At 39.9% G+C, this 20,176-nt stretch overlaps 1 protein-coding gene across 5 annotated transcripts in view, besides 1 other annotated feature; it reads right to left on the bottom strand.

Annotated features, from left to right (window-relative positions):
• Positions 1–20,176, bottom strand: part of GALNT13 (polypeptide N-acetylgalactosaminyltransferase 13) — a 1,388,282-nt gene that overhangs the window by 929,769 nt on the left and 438,337 nt on the right. The window lies entirely within an intron of this gene.
• Positions 17,494–17,996: an enhancer, noted in NCBI's record as "H3K4me1 hESC enhancer chr2:154365323-154365825 (GRCh37/hg19 assembly coordinates)". NCBI's record gives its function as "activates a minimal SCP1, AML or CMV promoter by ChIP-STARR-seq in primed H9 embryonic stem cells {active_cell/tissue: H9 hESC(primed)}" and the evidence as "EXISTENCE:reporter gene assay evidence [ECO:0000049][PMID:30033119]".

Here is a 20,176-nt window from a genome sequence, read left to right as displayed (position 1 = left end):
TTCTCTGTGTTATCTTGAATTTGAGTTTTCTCAAAACAGCTATTTTAAATTATCTGTGTGAAAGGTCACATATCTCTGTTGATAACTGGTCTCTGATGCCTTATTTATTTAATTTGGTGAGGCCATGTTTTTCTGGATGGTCAATACTTGTACATATTTGTCTGTGTCTGGGCAATGAAGGGTTAGGTGTTTATTTTAGTCTTCACAGTCTGGACTTGTTTGTTTCCATCCTTCTTGAGAAGGCTTTCTGGATATTGGAAAGAACTTGGGTGTTGTGATATAAGCTATATCTGCTTTAGGGGAAACCCCAAGCCTAGTAACACTGATTCTTTCAGACTCTTGAGGTGCCACCTTGATGGTCTTGGACAAGATGCAGGTGAGTTCTATGGATTACCAGGCAGAGAGTCTTGTTCTCTTCCCTTACTTTCTCCCAAGCAAATGGAGTTTCTGTCTTTGTTTTGAGCCACCTGAAGCTGGGTGTGGATTAATACTAGCACGCCTGTGGCCACCACTAGGATTGTGCTGGGTTAGACCTGAACCCAGCACAGCACCGGGTCTTGCCCAAGGCATGCAATAACCACTTCCTAGCTACTGCCTATGTTTGCTCAAGGCCCTGTGGCTCTACAATCAGCAGATGGCAAAGCCAGCCAGGCCTGTGTCCTTCACTTCAGGGTGATGAGCTCCCCCAGGCCCTGGGGCATGTCTAGAGTGCCATCCAGGAGCCAGAGATTCAAGTACAATACTTTAGATGTATACCTGGTGTTCTATTGTACTGCAGCTGAGCTCGCACTCAAGCCACAAGATGCAGTCTTTCCCATTCTTTCCTCCCTTTTCTAAAGGCAGAGGAGCCTCATCTGCGGCTTCCACCACCACAGGTCCATGTGCAGTACTGCCAGCCTACCAACAATGTTTCTTTAAGGCCCAAGGGCTCCTCAGTCAGCTTGTGGTGAATGCTCTCTGGCCTGGGACTTACATGCTTGAGAGCACTGGGCTCCTCTCTGGTCCAGGGCAGGTCCAGAAATGCCATCTAAGAACTAAGCCCTAGAATCAGGGACCCCAAAGGCCCACTTGGTGCTCTACTCCAGTGGTCCCCAGCCTTTTTGGCACTAGGGATGTTTCATGGAACACATTATTTTTTCACATACTGGTGGGGGTGGGGGATCGTCAGGCATTAGATTCTCATAACGAGCACATAACCTGGATCCCTTGCATGTGAAGTTCACAACGGGGTTCACACTTCAGTGAAAATCAAATCCCACCACTGATATGACAGGAGGTAGAGCTCAGGCAGCAATGCTCACTCACCAGCTGCTCACCTCCTGTTGCGTGGCCTGGTTCTAGTACAGGTCCTTGGCCCAAGAACTGGGGACCCCGGCTCTATCCCGCTGTGGCCAAGCTGGTGCTTACGGTGCAAAACAAAGTCCCCTTTATTTTTCCCTCTGTTTTTCTCAAGCAGTAGGGGTTTTGCCCCTTAGCCACCACAGCTGGAAATGTGCTGAGTCTCACCTGAAGCCAGTAAGTCTGAGTCTTGCCTGAGCCCTCAATGTAGTACCTTAGTATTGCTGCTGGTTATTCAGGGCGCAAGGGCTCTTTAGCTAGGAGGTGATTAATGCTGTTAGAACTGGTTTCTTCTCGTCAAGGCAGTGGATTCCCTTCTGGCCAAGGATTGTGTCTAGGAAAGTCATCCAGTAGTTAGGACCTGAAAGAGGAGCCCCATGGCTCTTACTGGTGCCCTATCTTACTGTGGCTGATCTGGTATCCAGAATGCAAGACAAAGTCCTCCCCACTCTTCCCTCTTCTATCAAGAGGTAGGAAGGGGTCTCTTTTGGAGCTGTGAGCTGTATAGCCTGCGATTAGGGGAGAGGGTGATGCCAGCACTCCTCTAGCTACTCTGGCTAGTATCTCAGCAGATCACGTGCCTCCCCCAGTCCTGTGACTCTAGACCCAGTTCAGCACAAGAACTCGCCTAGGTGTTACAGTCCTTGTGGCCTAGATTGCCTTTCAGATTTATTTAGAGCCCCAGAGCTCCTTTAGCCCATGGTGATCAGGCTTGTAGGAACTCAAGTTTCAACTGCTGGGATTGGCAATTCCCCTATAGCTAGAGCTAGTTTAAATGCTCCTTCCATGAGTATAAGTCAGCCAAGTTTGATCTGGCTTTCGTTTCCACTGTAACAGGACTGCACTGCTCACAAATACTGCCATCTTCCTCCCCCAGCACACAGAAATGCTCCCCACACCACCCACGACTGCAGGGAGATGGGGGAGGTGTGGCATTGGCAATTGAAGACTTTTTTTCTACCTCTTCAGTGTCTCTTTCAGTGATATGAAGCTAAAGCCATGCACTGTGAGTGCTCATCTGACTTTTGGTTCTTATAGAGGTGTTCTTTGTGTGTAGATAGTAGTTAAATTGGTGTCCTTGCAGGGGGAATAATTGGTGGAGCCTTCTATTCTGCCATCTTGCTCCACCAAAAAAAAAAAAAAAAAGAGAAGGAATACTTAACTTATTCTATGAAGCCAGCATAGAAAAAGACATTACAAGAATACTATTAACCAATATTTCTCAGGAATATCAATTTTAAAATCCTCAACAACATATCAGTTATTGAGTTCAACAATGTATAGAATGAATTATATACCACAATCAAGTGAGAATTATGCCAGATATGCAAAGGTGATTTGACATTTGAAAAACTAAGTAATGTAATTCATCACGTCAACAGGTTAGAAAACAAACAAACAAAAACACATGAATCTATCAATAGATGCAGAAAAAGTAGCAAAATCCAACACCCATTTGTGATTAAAAAAAATTCCCAGTAAATGTTTAATACAGGGAAATATATAACTCAACTTGACTTAAAAATATGTACAAAACACCTACAGCTAACATCATACTTAATAGTGAGAAACTCAAATCTTTCTCACTAAGATTAGGAACAAGGTCATCTCACCACTGCCTTTCAACATCATACTGGAAGTCCTAGCTAATGCAATAAGAGAAGAAAAAAGAGTAAAACATATTCAGATTAGAAAGGAAGAAATAAAACTCTGTTCACAGATGATATAATTATCCATATATAAAATTCAAGAGTCAACAAATTCTTCTGAAACTGGTAAGTGATTACAGCATGATTGCCAGATACAAGGTTAATATACAAAAGTCAATCACGTTCCCCTCTACCAGCAATAAACAAGTGGAATTTGAAATTAAACTCACAATATTACTTACATTAGCACTCAAATAAGATACTTAAGTACAGATCTAACAAAATATGTACAAGGTCTATCTGAGGAAAACTATAAAACTCTGATGAAAGAAAGCAAAGAACTAAATTAACGGTGAGATGTTTTGTTTTTATGAACAAAAGACTCAATATTGTTAAGATGTCAGTTCTTTCAAACTTGGTCCATAGATTCAATGCAATTCCAGTCAAAATTCCAGCAAGTTATTTTTGTAGATATCACCAGACTGATTCTAAAGTTCATATGGAGAAGTAAATGACTCAGATAGCCAATACAATATGTAAGAAGAACAAAGTTGGAGTATTGATATTGCCTGACTTTAAGATGTACTATAAAGCTACAGTAATCAGAAAAATTTGGATCATCAAAAGAGAACATAGATCCCAGAAATAGACCTGTATAGTCAATTGATCTTTGACAAAGGAGCAAAGCCAACGCAATTGAAAGGAGAATCTTTTCAACAAATGGTGTTTGGAACAACTGGACACCCACATGCAAAAAAAAAAAAAAAAAAAAAAATAGTAAACACAGACCTTGCATCCTTCACAAAAAATAACTCAAAATGGATCATAGACCTAAATGTAAAACACAAAACTGTCAACCTTTGAAGAGATAACATACATGTCCTTGGGTTTATCAATGACTTTTTAGATACAACACCAAAAGCACAATCCATGAAAGAAGGAATTGATAAATTGGACTTCATTAAAACTACAAACTTTTGTTCTGCAAAAGACACTATGAAGAGAATCAAAAAGCCACAGATTGGGAGAAAATATTTGGAAAAGACATATCTATTAAAGCACCGTTATCCAAAATACACAAAGAACTCTTAAAATTCAAAAATAAGAAAACATCCAATTAAAAAGGGGGCCAAATATCTCAATAGGCACCACACGAAAGAAGATGTACACATGGAAAATAAGTACCTGAAAAGATGCTCCACATATGTCTTCAGGGAAATGCAAATTTAAAACAACAAGATACCACTATACTCCTTTTAGGATGGTCAAAATCCAGAATGAAAACACCACCACCAACAGAAACAACAGGAACTCTCATTCAGTGCAGGTAAGAATGCAAATAGTAAAGCTACTTTGGAAGACAGTACACTGGTTTCTTACAAAACTAAACTTACTCTTAGCATATGAGTAAGTTTAGTTTTGTGCCTCACTTCTCACACTCTCACTTATTGTGCCACTCTCTCTCTCTCTTTATTTTTTTCTCCTTGAGACAGAGCCTCACTCTGTCGCCCAGGCTGGAGTGCAATGGCGCGATCTGGGCTCACTGCGACCTCCACCTCCCAGGTTCAAACGATTCTCCCACCTCAGCCTCCTGAGTAGCTGGGCTACAGGCACGTGCCACCACACCTGACTAATTTTTTGTATTTTTAGTAGAGACAGGCTTTCACCATGTTGGCCAGGCTGGTCTCAAACTCCTGAGCTAGCGATCTGCCCACCACGGCCTCCCAAAGAGCTGGGATTACAGGCATGATGTGCTCCTCTTTTATTTAGCTAGTGAAGCTGAAAATTTATATTCATACAAAAAAATGCATACAGATGTTTATAGGAGTTTAGTTCATAATTTCCAAAATTTTGAAGCAACTAAGATATCATTCAGTTGGCAAATGGTCAAACTGTGGTACACCCAGACAATGGAATATTATTCAGCACTAAAAAGAAATGAGCTGAGCTGTCAAGCCATGAAAAGACACAGAGGACCATAAAATGCATATTACTAAGGGAAAGAGATCAATTTGAAAAGGCTACATACTATATAATTCCAACTATATGACATTCTAGGAAAGGTAAAACTATGGAGACCAAAAAAGATCAGCGATTGCCAGGAGTAGAGGGAGAGAGGAACAAATAGGCAGAATACGGATGATTTTGAGGGCCATGAAAATACTCTGTATGATACTATAGTAGTGGGTACATGTCATTATGCCTTTGTCAAAATCCACAGGATGGTACAACACCAAGAATGTAGCCTGATGTAAACTATGGACTTTGGGTGATAATGATGTGTCATTGTGGGTTCGTCAATTATAACATGTACCACTCTGGTACGGGATGTTGATAATGAGAAAGGCTGTGCATGTGTAGACGGAAGGGATATATGAGATATCTCTGTACTTCCCTCTTAATTTTGCCCTGAACCTAAAACTACTCAAAAATAGTCTTTTAAAAATTTGATGTAGTTTATGTTTTTGGACAATAAGAACTTAGGCAAGCAACTTAAAACTTTATGGTAAAGCTTTTCCATTAGGAAAAAAAAAAACCTAATGGTATTTATCATCCACTACCATAGTGGTCCTGTGTAAATTAATTAGAATGAAAACACTAATGAAAAATTAGAATGAGTTAAAAGAATGTTTGGAGCTCTTCAGAAGAAGGACTATGCTTTAAAACATCTGTAACATAGAACAAATATAACTTACAAGGATACTTTATATGGCGCTTTCAGGTGTACTTCCTAAACATCACTGTCTTCCTTTAAAGTAAAATAATAACATGTTTTAAAAGTATAAAATAGGGTTAAAATTAAATCTGTCATGCACCAAAAGGAATTTTGGGAGCTATAGGGAATGTATAAACATTCACTAATAAAATGTGCAATTTAAAAGAAATCTCTATTCAATTATCTCCATGAGCTCATATTCATCAACAAAATAACCTATTTATGATTTACATATCTCATGGTCTCTTCTGTTCATGTACTTTTGTCTACGGAAAGGAAATTATTCAGATTTGATTATTATATTCTAATAATTTATGAAGATAATAATGTACCACTAAAAGGGTTCTAAAATCACTTTGGGAATAATCAAAATAGAAGAGAAAATGTCTTTGAAATAAATTATAAGAGAAATGAAAAGCAGTAGGGCAGTCAATAGCAGGAAAATGTTAGGTGCCAATGCGCCAACCTCTCAGCATTTACTTTTATTTTTCGAGCATTAAGATAAAACTCTTCCATGGGAACCTCTGATGAGTTCTCCTTTTCTGACCAGAAAATAAAGAAATAAAGAAATGAAGCATTCCTGAGGTCAGACTGAGTTCTGATTTCTTCAGATTGCATTTTTGAATAAATCTTTAGATTCTCAATGAAGCCAACAATTCATAAAATTTTGAAAGCCCAAACTAAGCTTGAAAAGATATCTGTGTTCTTTGGTCACCAGAAAATTTTGAAGAATTATGAACCTCAAATGATGCCCTGAGATCACAAAATTTAGCTGCTAACCTTCCCAACCAATTAGGATCTACACTAGCCTGAATTGCTTAGTGTTTGTATTATTTTTATGACCTCTGGAGAAACAGATGCAACAATTATCCATTCCTTAAGGTACCTTACTGCCTGAAATAAAAATTATATGTGCAAAGATCATTAAAATAAATAACTCAAATATGTTGTTAAATATTATTTTTAAATGAGTAAATTTTTTTTCTAGTAAGACAGGAAGATGTCTGGCTCATATTAACATCATCATATGTTTAATAGTTTAATTTAGCATCTGGTGCCTTTGCTGCCAGCCCTACAGGGAGAGAGATTAAAGATGGACCACATCTGCAGTTAGTAATAGCCAATCAAAGCAGTCAGACTCTAAGAAAACGAAGATCTTCAGGCCACATTATATGCTGCTGGGTTGCTAGCCATAATTTGTGACATGTCCAGAACACTCCAGATATTCTGGATTTACCTAAGAAATAATACTAAACTTGAAGTGCTAAAACAAACCCAAAGGAATAAAATGTAATGGATTCCAATGGTGCCTTGTCACTCCATTTTTGTGACTCCTCTAACTTTAGCTTCTTACAGGGGGATTCTATTTGTAATACAAAATAGGAGAAAAAATAAGGTTGAGAATTTTTAATCACAAGAAATATTTCCCATTGAAGCCTATTGCTCTATCTTTTATAGCAAAAGTGAGCTAGCAACAGAATGGCTTGATTTGTCAACTGATTGAAGAAGAAACTTTATCTAAATAAACCCTACATTTATAGATGACATACAAGCAAAAAGCCCATGAAAGGGCAACAAAATCATAAAACAGTTAAAAAGAAAAAAAAGACAATGCTTCTGACCAGCAGGTGGCGCTGCAATCCATCATTGTTAGCCAATTGGAAATCTAAGAATACTTGTACTATCCTGTTGACTGTAATTTCCTATTTAGACTCTTCCTGATCCTTTTAACTTGGTGTGTTATGGCATGCTGTGCCCAGTTGTTTTCATTTCAGCACAGAACTCAAAGGAAATTGTTAGACCTGCAGGATTGATAGATTAACTCTGCTAACAATATCAACAATCAAAATTTGTAATAAACATTATCAACCCTGTGAATTATTAAATCAAGCCGTTTAAATGGAAAATATCGATTTTACAGTTTATCAACAGAATCCTGTTTGGACGTGTGAAATAGCAGCAATTTGTAGTAAAGTTAAGCTAAAGGGGTTTCTAAAAGTCCTAGGAGCCTTGGACACAATAGACTTACCCATTAACTTCTTAGTCTATGGCTTAGCAACAATTTAACATATATAGAATGACATAATTAGCAGAAATTTAAAGAATATAGTAAGTCATTTGTTCCAAGGATGGAAATGATCTGGCTAGCATATGTCTTATGCACCCTTTTGTGCCCAAGTCAGAAATCACAGTACCCAATTACAGTACTGTATTGTGCTGAGTCAATGCAAGGCTCTTAGCCTTTTCAGTAGAGCTCTCAATTCATATGAAACCCATTTTCCATCTCTGGGACTGATAAGAAAAGGCTCAGAGAAGTTAATTATTGTTCTAGGAACCCACTAAACATTTATAGAACCAGATACCAGATATTTCACCATCTAATAGATATTTATAGTTATTCTAGTTCAGTAACTTCTAGTTTTAGTTATTGAACTCAAATAACAATTTTATAATTTAAAATAATAATCTTTCTCCAATACTAAGAACTCATACAAACCCTTTACTTTATAAATTTAGCAGTACCTAGAATACAAAGAGGTTTAAAATATACTTGCCTAGTCACATAAAGTCAGTAACAGACATGATTCAAGCCCATGTCTTGTGACTTTGTTTTCTTAGTATATTTTGGATTTCTACTTCAGAAACAGGATTTTTCTTCTGTTTGTTTCTCCACTTATTCATTCTCATTTTTATAAAATCTTTATAGTCTCCATACGCATTTCAGAAACCATGTCAGGTATCAAGTATCCTGGATGAACAAATATACATGGTCCTTCCCATCAAAGAGCATGCAGTACAGCACTAAACAAGGAGACAGATTGTGTGTGACTTTCATTATGATAAGGGCTACGAAGAAAGAACTATGAGAAAAACAATAGAAGAACATATTTGGATTGGTCAGATAACATGTCTGAAGTCATTGGAAGAACACTGAAAAAATAAGAACCTACCAAAGGAAGGGCCAGGGTGTGTGTATTGGACAGGGGTCTGGAGTTGAGGGCAGTATATCCAGGAAGAAGAAAATGTGTGACTGTCCTGAGCTACCATGTTTTCTCAGCACCATAAAGATGATACTCATTTCTGGCACGAATCATTTTTTAAATCATGTTGTGTCCTGCTCAGTGCATCATATCAAGTGTTTCATGCTATTGATATGTCTTCTTATTGGGGATGTTTACCTTGGTCACTTCAGTCACTGTGTATTTGGTTATTCCACTGCAAATTTACTATTTTCTTCTCTGTAGTTGATGAGCATCCTAGGGGAGATACCTTGAAACTATATACATCCTCTTTCTCTTCAAACTTTTGCCAACTGATTTTAGCACACATTGGTGGATATTTATCTACAATATGTGTTACTATGATGTCTGCCTAATGGTGATTCTCTATTTCCCTTTTCCTTCTACATTAATGGAAATTCTACTGTGAGGAAGAGCTATCTGTAGCTCCCATTTACTTATTCAATTATTCATTTATAGTAGTAAGGACTCATGGAAATTTGCTTGATTCCATGGGTAAAATTCAATACTATCAATATTTTCTGACTCGAATTGTTCCAGTGTTGGCCATTAGTTCCTTCAGGTTTGTCTCTTGTGTTTCTCTGACAAACCTCTCTCTTCTGAACATTTCTCTGCTTTCTGGCACCATAAAGGGTTTCAAACCTCATACTATATTTTCTTGTCCCAGCGCTGAAGTCAATCACTTCTCCTAGAAGCTCTGGTTCCTTTTATCGAGTAAGAAAAGTAATTCTTAACTCAGAGCACGTATTAGTTTCACCCCCTGGGCTTTTGAAAACACTCAGGGTCTATTGAATCTGAATTCCTGAAGAAGCCACTGAATATTTTAAAAGCCATAGAGGTAAGCATATACAGTTTCATGGTTGAGACCTACTGTTCTAAAAGGCAGGGAGAGTATATGTACTATTTTTTATGACATGATAAAAATGAAGGTGGGAATGTCCATAGACTAACCCACCTACTACCACTAGTCCCTTGCAATAGCAAACCCCACAGATTTTCTTTCCCAGACTCTGAGCCTCTCACCTGGAACCAAATTCTGAGCAGAGAAGACTGGCCATAGTGGGACACACATACTAAGAACTCAGAGGAAAAAATAGTTACTAATTAAAAAATAAAGAGTGGAGAAGGAGGTGGAAGGTAAGGAAAAACTAAACCCTACAAGAGAGTAAGTTATTTGTGGGGAGGATAAGAGAGCACTTGAATACTGTGTAAAGAGAAGTGGGAAGGAGTAAAGGAAGTATAAAAGCATATCTTTTGGCCCTGAACCTGATCTTTTTTGATATCCTATAGATCTGAGTTTTTAAAAATGGAATTCATGCTTAATTATTTCAATTATTTAACTATTTGTCAAACAAAAATGGGACTCAGCACATGATGCTACTACAATTTCCTAGGGAGAATTTTCCCTTTCTCCCTCTATAAAATTGCCATTTCACATCCTCTCTCACTTCAATTATTCTCTATCCTCCCATCCTCCATCACATGCCCTTTTTCTCATATTTCATTAAGGAAACAGAAGAAACCAGACAGGAAATTCCCTCTCTTCCTACCACCTAACTTGTAATCTCCCCAAAACTCTATTTCTACTTCTCTTTTTAACCTATTACTATAAATGACATTTCTTTATTCCTATCAAAATCTAACACATCCTCTCCCATTCCTAGCTGTTGCAAAGTCTCCTAACTCCTAATTGGTCAGTTCCCTGCCTTCAAACTCTCCACCTCCTTAATCAATCCTGCCAAATTAATCATCCAGTAAGATAATTCGCTCATTCATTCTACAGGTGTTTGTTTACTGAGGACTTTGGCACTATCAGGCACTGAGAATCCATACTCCAAAAAGGATATTAGCTATATTAAACAGTTCAGGCCTACTTTTGAAGACATATTGATAAATAAATAATTAAAATACTGTGCAATAAGTACAATAATGGTAGATCAAAGTGGCATAGAATAATGAGAACTTTGCCCTCAACTACTCTAATCCAAGTCATATCATTTATTTGAATTAAATGCAACAGTTTCATAACTGGTCTTTGTCTTACAGTTGCCCCTACGGTTCTTCTTGTATGCAATAGGCAGAATGATTTCTCAAAAATAAATTTAAACATTCAGTTGCTGTCATGGCCCTTTGGTAAGATATTATCACGTCTAACAGCAGCCATAGTGGAGCTGGCACCTAATCTATCCAGCCTCTTGCCACTCTTCCAACATATATTCCAGCCAAAGAGAATCCTTTAATTCCTCACATACTTTTTTTTTCACCTTAGTGTCTTTCAACATATAACATTCTCTTAGCAGGGAACACCTTCTGGATCATTTTTTCTGCATAACTTAACCCATGAGAGGTTATTTAGTACAGGAAGCCTTCCCTACTTCCCGTAAACTGCACTGGGTACCACCACTAAGTGGTCCCATAGGATCATATACTTAATCGTCTAGCTATTAAATTTATTATAACTGCATGTCAATCGCCAAGCTGTCTTTCTCAGTAGAAGTTTTAAGAAGGCACGGGCTACCTTGCTCACCGATGCTGCCTTAGTTTATTTCTCAGGATTTGGTACATGGTTGTTGCTTGGCAAATATTTGTCTCCTGAATAAATGATCAAGATTGTTCAGTGCTTGCTGATGGTGGGAGAATGGGTAAACATATTCTAGGAATTTCGCAGATAAAGCCAGAAGGTTTTCAGAGCAAAGGGACTTGAAAGTGCAAAGCACAGAAGCTTGAAATAACAGCATGTGTTCAATGAGCGGCAAAGGACTATTTGCTGCAGGAGCAGAGGGAGCTACGGCAGAGAGGTGGGGTCATCGGGCTGGGAAAAAGAGGGACCAGATCAGGGTTATGGTTTCTATGACCTATCAAGTGATTTACACTTTAGGATGTATCTTAAAGAAAGTCACTGAAGGGTTTAAACCCCTCTAATACTGCCAGTGGAGAAAAGACAGTGAACCAATTTGGGCTACAATATCCCTCCCTCCCCCAACATCCAAACCTGGAGATGGACCAGAAAAACAGAAAGGTTAATGGATCTTAGGGTGATTCTCAGCATCTTCCCAACCAAAACACTTAAAAACCCTTAGGGGTCTTGGGTGGGAAGCAATAAACATCTTCTGGATTTCCTGGAGAAGGACAGAGGAAACAGGATGGGGAGGAGTGGGTGGGCAGAGGGAGAACATTCTGTCTGTATGCTCTTCCCACATTGTCCCGTCCCGATTACTGACCAGGATGATTGGCCACTAAAGCAGCATTCTCAGCACAGCACCTGTTAGGCACTGCAGGATCCAACCAAGTATCCAAAAGCATGGAGGAAGCAGCCAATAGCATAAAGAACAAGCATCTGAGTGTCCCTTATCCCCACCCCTTGAAAAATCCATAGGCAATTGCAACATGAATGGTAGCACCTGGATAATGAAGAGGACTGGAGCAAGAAATCCTGGTAAGTTCCTCTGGAGCGAGGAATGATGGAGAGTGCGGAGGAGAAGAGAGGGGAGATGTGAACCCAGAAATGCCCATCCGTAAAAGGTCCTCATCTCACATCCCTCAACTCTCCTGCAGGAGCAGAAATCAGGGCCCAGGCTTTTATCCTTCCCTCAAGGTTACCATTCTTGGCAAAAAGTGACTGACAGGTTTGGCAAGACACTACAAAAGCAGAACTTTAACAAATGGAACAAAAAGAGTAAGAATATAAAATGACCAAATGCTTTCAGAGAGATGGGAAAAATATGAGCAAAATGAAGCAGGAAGATGAAGTATGAAAACAATCAATTGGCAACAGTGGGCTTGAGAAATATAGTCACCGAAATAAATAACCCAATGGATGTGTTTTAAAAAATTGATAGGCCTAAAGAATGATTTCAGAAGCTGGAATGTCATGGCAAGAAACTCTTCAAATAGGAATGGGTAAGAGCTAAAGAGAGGAAAGAAAGGAGATAAGATATATGAGGATGAAAATAAAAGTGTTAAGAAAGACTAAACAAGATAATTTGAATAATAAAAATGAATTCCCCAGAATTAGAGAAAAAAAATTAAAAACTTTAGATTGGAAATAATGTAATGTTTTTAATATCCCCTAGAAAATAGAGCTTGAGACAAACCTTACAGGTTAAAGATCTTTTAGAAACTACAATTCTAGGGTGGCAAGAATGAGAGGAAAAGGAAAGTAAAGAAAGGAAGCAGGGAAAGCAAGTACAGGTGGTGTGTTTCCAAGTTCTCTACGCTTCAAACACACAGAAAACCGCAGCTGGAGGCTTAGTTATATTTATTATATTCCAGACAGGCAAGTGTCTTCCGGGTTAGGAAATGAGAAGGGTTTGTCTGCCAGCTTCTGCTTTCCTGTGCCTCCTTGGTCAGTTTGCCTCCAGTTCAGCTAGATCCCAAACCCATGGACTTCCCCTGAGCTTGAGTGGTGGGAAAAGCCCTAGGTATGGGAATGGAAACAAGTATGAAAGTAAAGGAATAATGGAATTACTGAAGTGTTTTGTTCTCTAGAGAAAGATGACCAATGGAAAAATAAACACAACTAAAACTTAGGCACCAAACTAACTGAGGAAGAGGGTAGGTGGTAGTGACCTAAGGAAGTGAAAATTTGCTCAGATTATTTTCTTATTCAGGAGATAGACATAGATATTGACAAGCATTAGTGATTAATAAGAAAAAGAAAACAGCACAAGTTTGAGTCTGATAATTTGATGTGTTTAGGGGAATGAGTAAGGGAAACAAAACAAATAGGACTTGTGGAAAATCAACTTCTCTAAATAAGATGGCAAAGTTAAGTTTCCAAAGCAGCAATTTCAATAAATATGAATCTATGAAAGTAATTAAATAAGATTCAGAAGCACTCAAATGGGAAAGAGAAAAGGACGATGAATAAGTTGTCTACGAGAAATATATTTCACCTAGAAGAACACATGAGAGTCTGAAAACAAAAACAAAAACCTGGAAGTTAATTTATCCAATTATTTATTTCTATCATATGTACTCAACAGGTATTTATTTTACGCTATGGGTTAAAATTCAATACTATGCTGGGGACTCAAGCATCCAACAGATCGTCCCCTTATTTACAATTTCTTTTCTCAGAATATTTTAGAATTTTTTTTAAATTAGCAAATAACATGTGTTGAAAACAATTAATATTACAGGGAACTGATGCTACAGAAACCTAATGTATATCATATGGGGACCAAATGTTCAAATGAAATTGGAATAAACTCAGCTGGGCAGAAAACAGTTTTACTCATTCTTTGCCAGGCATCTGTTTTTCTGTCCCCTAAACGCAAATTAAAAATGAGTAATAATAATAACAACAATAATAATCTTTTTTACCCCTCAAAAGCAAATTAAAAATGACTAATTATCATCATTATGGCTAACATTTATTAACTGCATACTCTTAATATGTGCCGGGTGTTATCCTAAGTGTTTTAACACGTATTAACTCATTTACTCTGCACAGTAACCCTAGGAGACAGATACTGCTATTCTCCCAATTTTATAGATAAAGAAGACAAGGCACTCAGGCATTAATGTCACAAAGCTAGTAAGCAAAGGAAGTGTGACTGGAATATAAACAGTTAGGCTCCAGAGCTCACACTCTTAACCACCATGACATATTGCTGCTGTCAATGAATTTACAAATACTGCTTTCACTCTCATCTAGTGTAAAAAGTCTGTAGCCCTCACGAAGCATGGCTGTTTTTACTTCCACGGGTATTGTTCATGGTGTCTAGAAGTGGTGTAGGTGCTCTTCATACTTCTCATTTTTGCTTTCAAACAATTGACCCTCTCTTCTCTAAAAACCCAGTTTTGAAGTCTACACCACCTGCCACATTGCTTTGTGGCAGTCAACTACAAACTCTAGGGTCATCCTCCCTTTCATTGAAGATCTGGATCTGAATAACCGTCTTTCTCTTCAGTGCTTCCCCCGCCATGGGTTTTAGTGGTTTCAATGTCCTCATAGGTAAGCCTTCCAATTCCATGACTTCCCCGTTCAGTTATCCCCAACTCCTCCATTGACCCTGACCCTATCATATCTCAGCCCCTCTCCCCATGGTTACATTGTAGGTCATACATACGCAGATTACCAATAACTGTGCCTTCTCCATAATCTTCCTTTCAAGAACTTTCCTTTTTGCCTACAACCTCTTATCTTTCCCAGACACTGGACTCCAGACTCCAGTTCCTCTTCAACCCCATTGGGATATAATTTATTTTGGCTGACCACCTATCCCTACCTCTCATTTCCTTTGTGTTTTAATTTTCTCTTACCAATGTGGGATTACATGGTTTATCAATATAAATACTTCTTTATACTCACCCATAAAACTCCCGCTTCAGTCTTGTTTATAGTACTCACTTGGCAAAACTACAACCCTGGCAAAATCAGTCATCTTGTTATCCACTTCATTTATTCTGAACTTGTACCCAACACATTTGACTGTGGCTAGTGAAAAATACAGAATCACGCTAACTAGCATAAACTCAATTTCATGAACACTAACCTCCTGTGGTCAAGATCCAATAACTTTCCCTTTTTCCTAGAGTGGTTATGTTCTTCCCTCAGACCTCTAACGCATTCCCCTGCCTGGCTTTCTATTTCATGGAGATAAAAGAAATACAAAAATAATCTGAAAAGGAGTTCCACATCTCTTGAAACCCTACTGAATCTATACCCCCATGCTCGGTTTTCTCACCTGTTACCCATCCACAGGTAACAGGAACCTGCTTGAATCACGCCTAATCTATAGGAACCTGCTTGGGTCATCCCTAATCTATAGCCAACCCCCGCCCCTTTTTTTTTTGCAGTGGACCCCAACTCTTCCACCACATTCCAGGACATCTAGAAATTTCTTCTTTCTCCTATCTCAACAATTTCTTCCTTTTTGCTGAGTCATTCCCAGGACCATACAAATGTACTTTAATAGCTCCTATCAAAAGGCATGAATAGATTTTTTAAGAATCCTCCTCCTCCAACTCCACATCCTCTTCCTCCTTCCACCCCTTTCTCTGCTCCCAAATAAAGGAAATCGTCTGGACAGAGTTATTCTTTTTCTCTCTGCTTCTCTCGCTCCCTCTTGTAACTCCTAGGTCAGTCTTTCATCCTTACCTCTCCAGTGAATCTGCTCTTGTCCAACAGTGTCTGCTCCATTGCGAGATACCACAGAGTGGCCCACTCTCTCCTTCTGCTTGTATTTGCTGGGTAACTCTTTCCTTCTAGAAACATTTTCTTCAGTTGAAACCTACACCACGGCTCTCCTGTCTGCTTCCTACCTCGCCAACCACAGTCTCTGTCTCTTTTGCTGATACGTCCTTATCCCTCCTATTTTAGACCACAGCTTCTCAATTCTGGCTGCACATAAGAATCACCTGGCAAGTTTTTAAACTACAACAGAGCCCAGGCCTCAACATATTAAATCAGAATCTCTGACTAATTAAAGCAGAATCGCTGAAGGTGAGTTGAAAGGCTTGGTCAATTTTGTTCATGACTCCCAGGTGATTCTAATGTGCCGCCAGGCTGATAATTCCTGGCAACGTTGGTGTGTCTGCATAAAATAGCACCTCCTTAGCCTACACTCCTTGTTACCTGTGTTGGCTTTATATACGTGTTTGTTTCCAGTCTTCTCAGATAGAATACAAGCTTCTTAAGGGCAGGGTCTCTGTCTAAGCCTGGAATGGTTCCTGGCTTATCCTAGACACTCAGTAATCACGTATTGAGTAAATGAGTCCAGCTCAAGATTCTGGCCGTAGCTTATGTGGAGTTATTGTAGTAATAAAATATCAAAGGGCCAGACAAGTCTTTTGGAAACAATACGTACCCCCAGAAACGTTTACCCTTGTCCCTTTTGTTAGGAACATCTCTCGGATTTGGGTGGAGAGATGAAATTGGGACAGACTAAAAATGATATTGCAATATTGTGGCTTAAAATAAATCATTGTGAGATTTGCATTCTTTGAGTCATGCTTAGGCTGGAACATTTTCTGCCTGCAATTAGATACTCTGTTTCTTTCCTAAATTTCCTGAGACCCTAAAGGGTCACAGCTCCTTTAAGACAAGTCCTGGTATTGCTACCAAAATATTTCTCAAATAAGTGCAATCAAACAACATAGTGCAGTGTAAAAATGAGATAAAAATATACTTAGTAGTAAAAATAAGTCTCACTGAAAACAAATTTAGGCCCTGTATCTAAAAATTTTTAATTACGAGATTTTTCCATCACCAATTAATGAAATGAAACTAGGCTTCTTGAAAAACTTTATAATCCCCTGAGGCAAACATAAAAGGCCTTCTGCTAGAGTCAGGTCTGAGTCCCTTAGGGGCCAAAGCTTTGCATGGTCTAGCCCTGGGAGAGGAAGAAAGTAGTTGTAATTAGTGACTATTATTCACTACGCCTGGCTCAACCAAGTTCACACACATACACAGAGAGTTAAATGTTGATTGCTGGAATTTGACACCTCCTATCTATATAGAAGCAATTCAATGACCATCTACAATAACACTTTTAACAAGAAGTTTCAGTTAATTTATTTACAACATTTCTTTAAACATTTCATCTAGGGTTTTTCTTTATGGTCTGTGCTTTTAAATATTCTAATTATTTATTAAAACAGTTTCAAGTTCTTAAATATAAGCAAAGGAATCACTATTGATGGCAGCGGTGGCCCGTCTGAAGCAGCCGCTGCGGGGACTCCAGCTGCAGCAGGGGAGGCTCCGCCAGGTCTGCGCACTCCGTGGAACTGGTGGGAACCAGAAACAGGTGGAAGCCCCGCCCCGTTTTCAGTTGGCAGGGCGGGAGCCCCAGCTCCCTGACGCAGCTGCAGCTGCCCAGCCATGGCTGCTGACTGAGGCAGCCCTGCACTCTCAGGGACCCTGGAAGCTCCTGTTTCCCCGCAGGCTCAAAAGTACCTGCTCCCGCTGCCTGGCCTCTCCCCACACACAGCGCCCGCTATTTCCTTCTTTCTTCCTCTGTCCTCTCTTCCTGGACGGGTAATCACGTTTCTATAACCACAAGACACTTCCCTCGGATGCATCCCCCAAACTGGGAAGGGTTTAATTTCCCCAAACCTTAAACTGCCTGCCAATCTCTTGGGGAAGGACAACTTCTTTGTCTGTTTCACCTTCGCAGGACTCCAGGGTGATAGGGCTAACGGCTCAGAGGAAGAGAACCCAGAAACTTGACATGCCGGCAAAAGGGTTAAAGTTCTTAGGAGATTTATAGGGGGGAAGATGGCAGATAGGAGTCAGGACTACCATGCAGCTCCCACTTGGGAGACAGAGCAGCCTGCGGAGACTCACATCATGAGCTTTTGCTCCAAGAACTACCGCAGCAACATACCAGGAAAGCTGAGAGAATCCATAAACCCTTTGAAGGAACTGGATCACTGCTGCAGGCTCCCTGAGATGCTAAAAAACCGTGAGTCAACTTGCTTCATCAGCGGGGAGGCTGGTAGTTGGGGCAAGTTCTCAGCCCTGGTCACCAGCTGCCTGGAAGTAGACTCAGTGTTGTTGGGGGAGTACAGTAGGGGTGAGACCAGCCTTTAGGACTGTGGGCTGCATGGGTGTAGAGTCAGATCTGTGACTGCCTGCTTTCCCCCACTTCCCTGGTGACCTGTATGACTTAGCAGAGGCAGCCATACTCCACGTGGGAACATAACTCCACCGGCCTAGGAACCAACCACACCACCATCCCCCATAGCAGCTGCAGCAAGCCCCATCCAAGGATAGTCTGAGCTCAGACATGTCTATCCCTGCTCCCACCTGGTGATCTTTTTCTATCTGCCCTAGTTGCCAAAGACAAAGGACATAATCTCTTGGGAGCTCTATGGCCCTGCCCACTGCCTGAGAAACCTGAATACATAACCAGGCGACCCTAGGGCATGTTTGCTTCCTCCCTATAAGAGCTGATGTGCTCTTGAGAGTGCCACCTTCTGGCTGGAGGCCAACCAACACAAAATCAGTACACTAAGCAAAAACACAACCAAGGACCCTCACAGAGTCCATTTCACTCCCCTGCTGCCTCCACTGGAGCAGGTGCTGGTGTCCATGGCTGAAAGATCTGAAGGCAGATCACATCACTGGACCCTTGCAGACACTCCCCAGTACGAACCCAGAGCCCAGTAGCTTCTTCCAGGTGGCCAGACCCAGAAGAGCAAAAACAAGTACCACAGTTTGGCTCTCTGGAAGCCCCATCCCTAAGGGAATGGGGAGACCATCACATCAAGGGAACACCATGTGGGACAAAATAATCTAAACGGCAGCTCTTCAGTCCCATATCTTCCCTCTGACGTAGTCCACCCAAATGAGAAGGAACTAGAATAACAATTCTGGTAATATGACAAAACAAGGTTCTTTAGCACCCCCAAAGATCACACCAGCTCACCAGCAATGAATCCAAACCAAGATGAAATCTCTGAATTGCCAGAAAAAGAATTCAGAAGGTCAATTATTAAGCTAATCAAGCAGGCACCAGAGAAAAGTGAACTTCAACTTAAAGAAATAAAAAACATCACCTGGGCATGGTGGTTCAAGCCTGTAATCCCAGCACTTTGGGAGGCCGAGGCTAGTGGATCACGAGATCAGGAGATAGAGACCATCCTGGCCAATATGGTGAGATCCCATCTCTACTAAAAATACAAAACTTAGCTGTGCATCGTGGCACGGGCCTGTAGTCCTAGCTACTTGGGAGGCTGAGGCAAGAGAATTGCTTGAACTTGGGAAGCAGAGCTTGCAGTGAACTGAGATAGCACACTGCACTCCAGCCTGGCGACAGAGTGAGACTCCATCTCCAAAAATAAAAATAAAAAAGAAGGAAAGAAAGAAGGAAAACACATGATGCAGGATACGAAATAAAAATTCTTCAGTGAAATAACGAATAAAAAACAATCACAACTTCTGGAAATCAAGAACACACTTAGAGAAATGCAAAATGCACTGGAAAGTCTCAGCAATAGAATCTAACAAGCAGAAGAAAGAACTTTAGAGCTTGAATACAAGGCTTTTGAACTAACCCATCAAATTAATCCATCAAAGACAAAGAAAAAAGAATTTTAAAAAATGAACCAAGCCTCCAAGAAGTTTGGGACTATGCTAAGCATCTAAACCTAAGAATGATTGATGTTCCCAAGGAAGAAGAGAAATCTAAAAGTCTGGAAAACATGTTTGAGGGAATAATAGAGGAAAACTTCCCTGGCCTTGCTGGTGATCTAGACATCCAAATACAGGCAGCCTGAAGAACACCTGGGAAATTCATCACAAAAAGTTCATTGCCTAGGCACATAGTCATCAGGTTATATAAAGTCAAGACAAAGGAAAGAATCTTAAGAGCTGTCAGGCAAAAGGATCAGATAACCTATAAAGGAAAACCTATAAGAGTAACAGCAGATTTCTCAGCAGAAACCCTACAAGCTAGAAGGGATTGGGGTCCTATCTTTAGCCTCCTTAAACAAAACAATTATCA

Source organism: Homo sapiens, chromosome 2 (genome assembly GCF_000001405.40).
Source record: "Homo sapiens chromosome 2, GRCh38.p14 Primary Assembly".
NCBI lineage: Eukaryota > Metazoa > Chordata > Mammalia > Primates > Hominidae > Homo > Homo sapiens.
The sequence above is the reverse complement of the archived record's forward strand: the minus strand, read 5'-3'. Positions and strand labels throughout refer to the sequence as shown.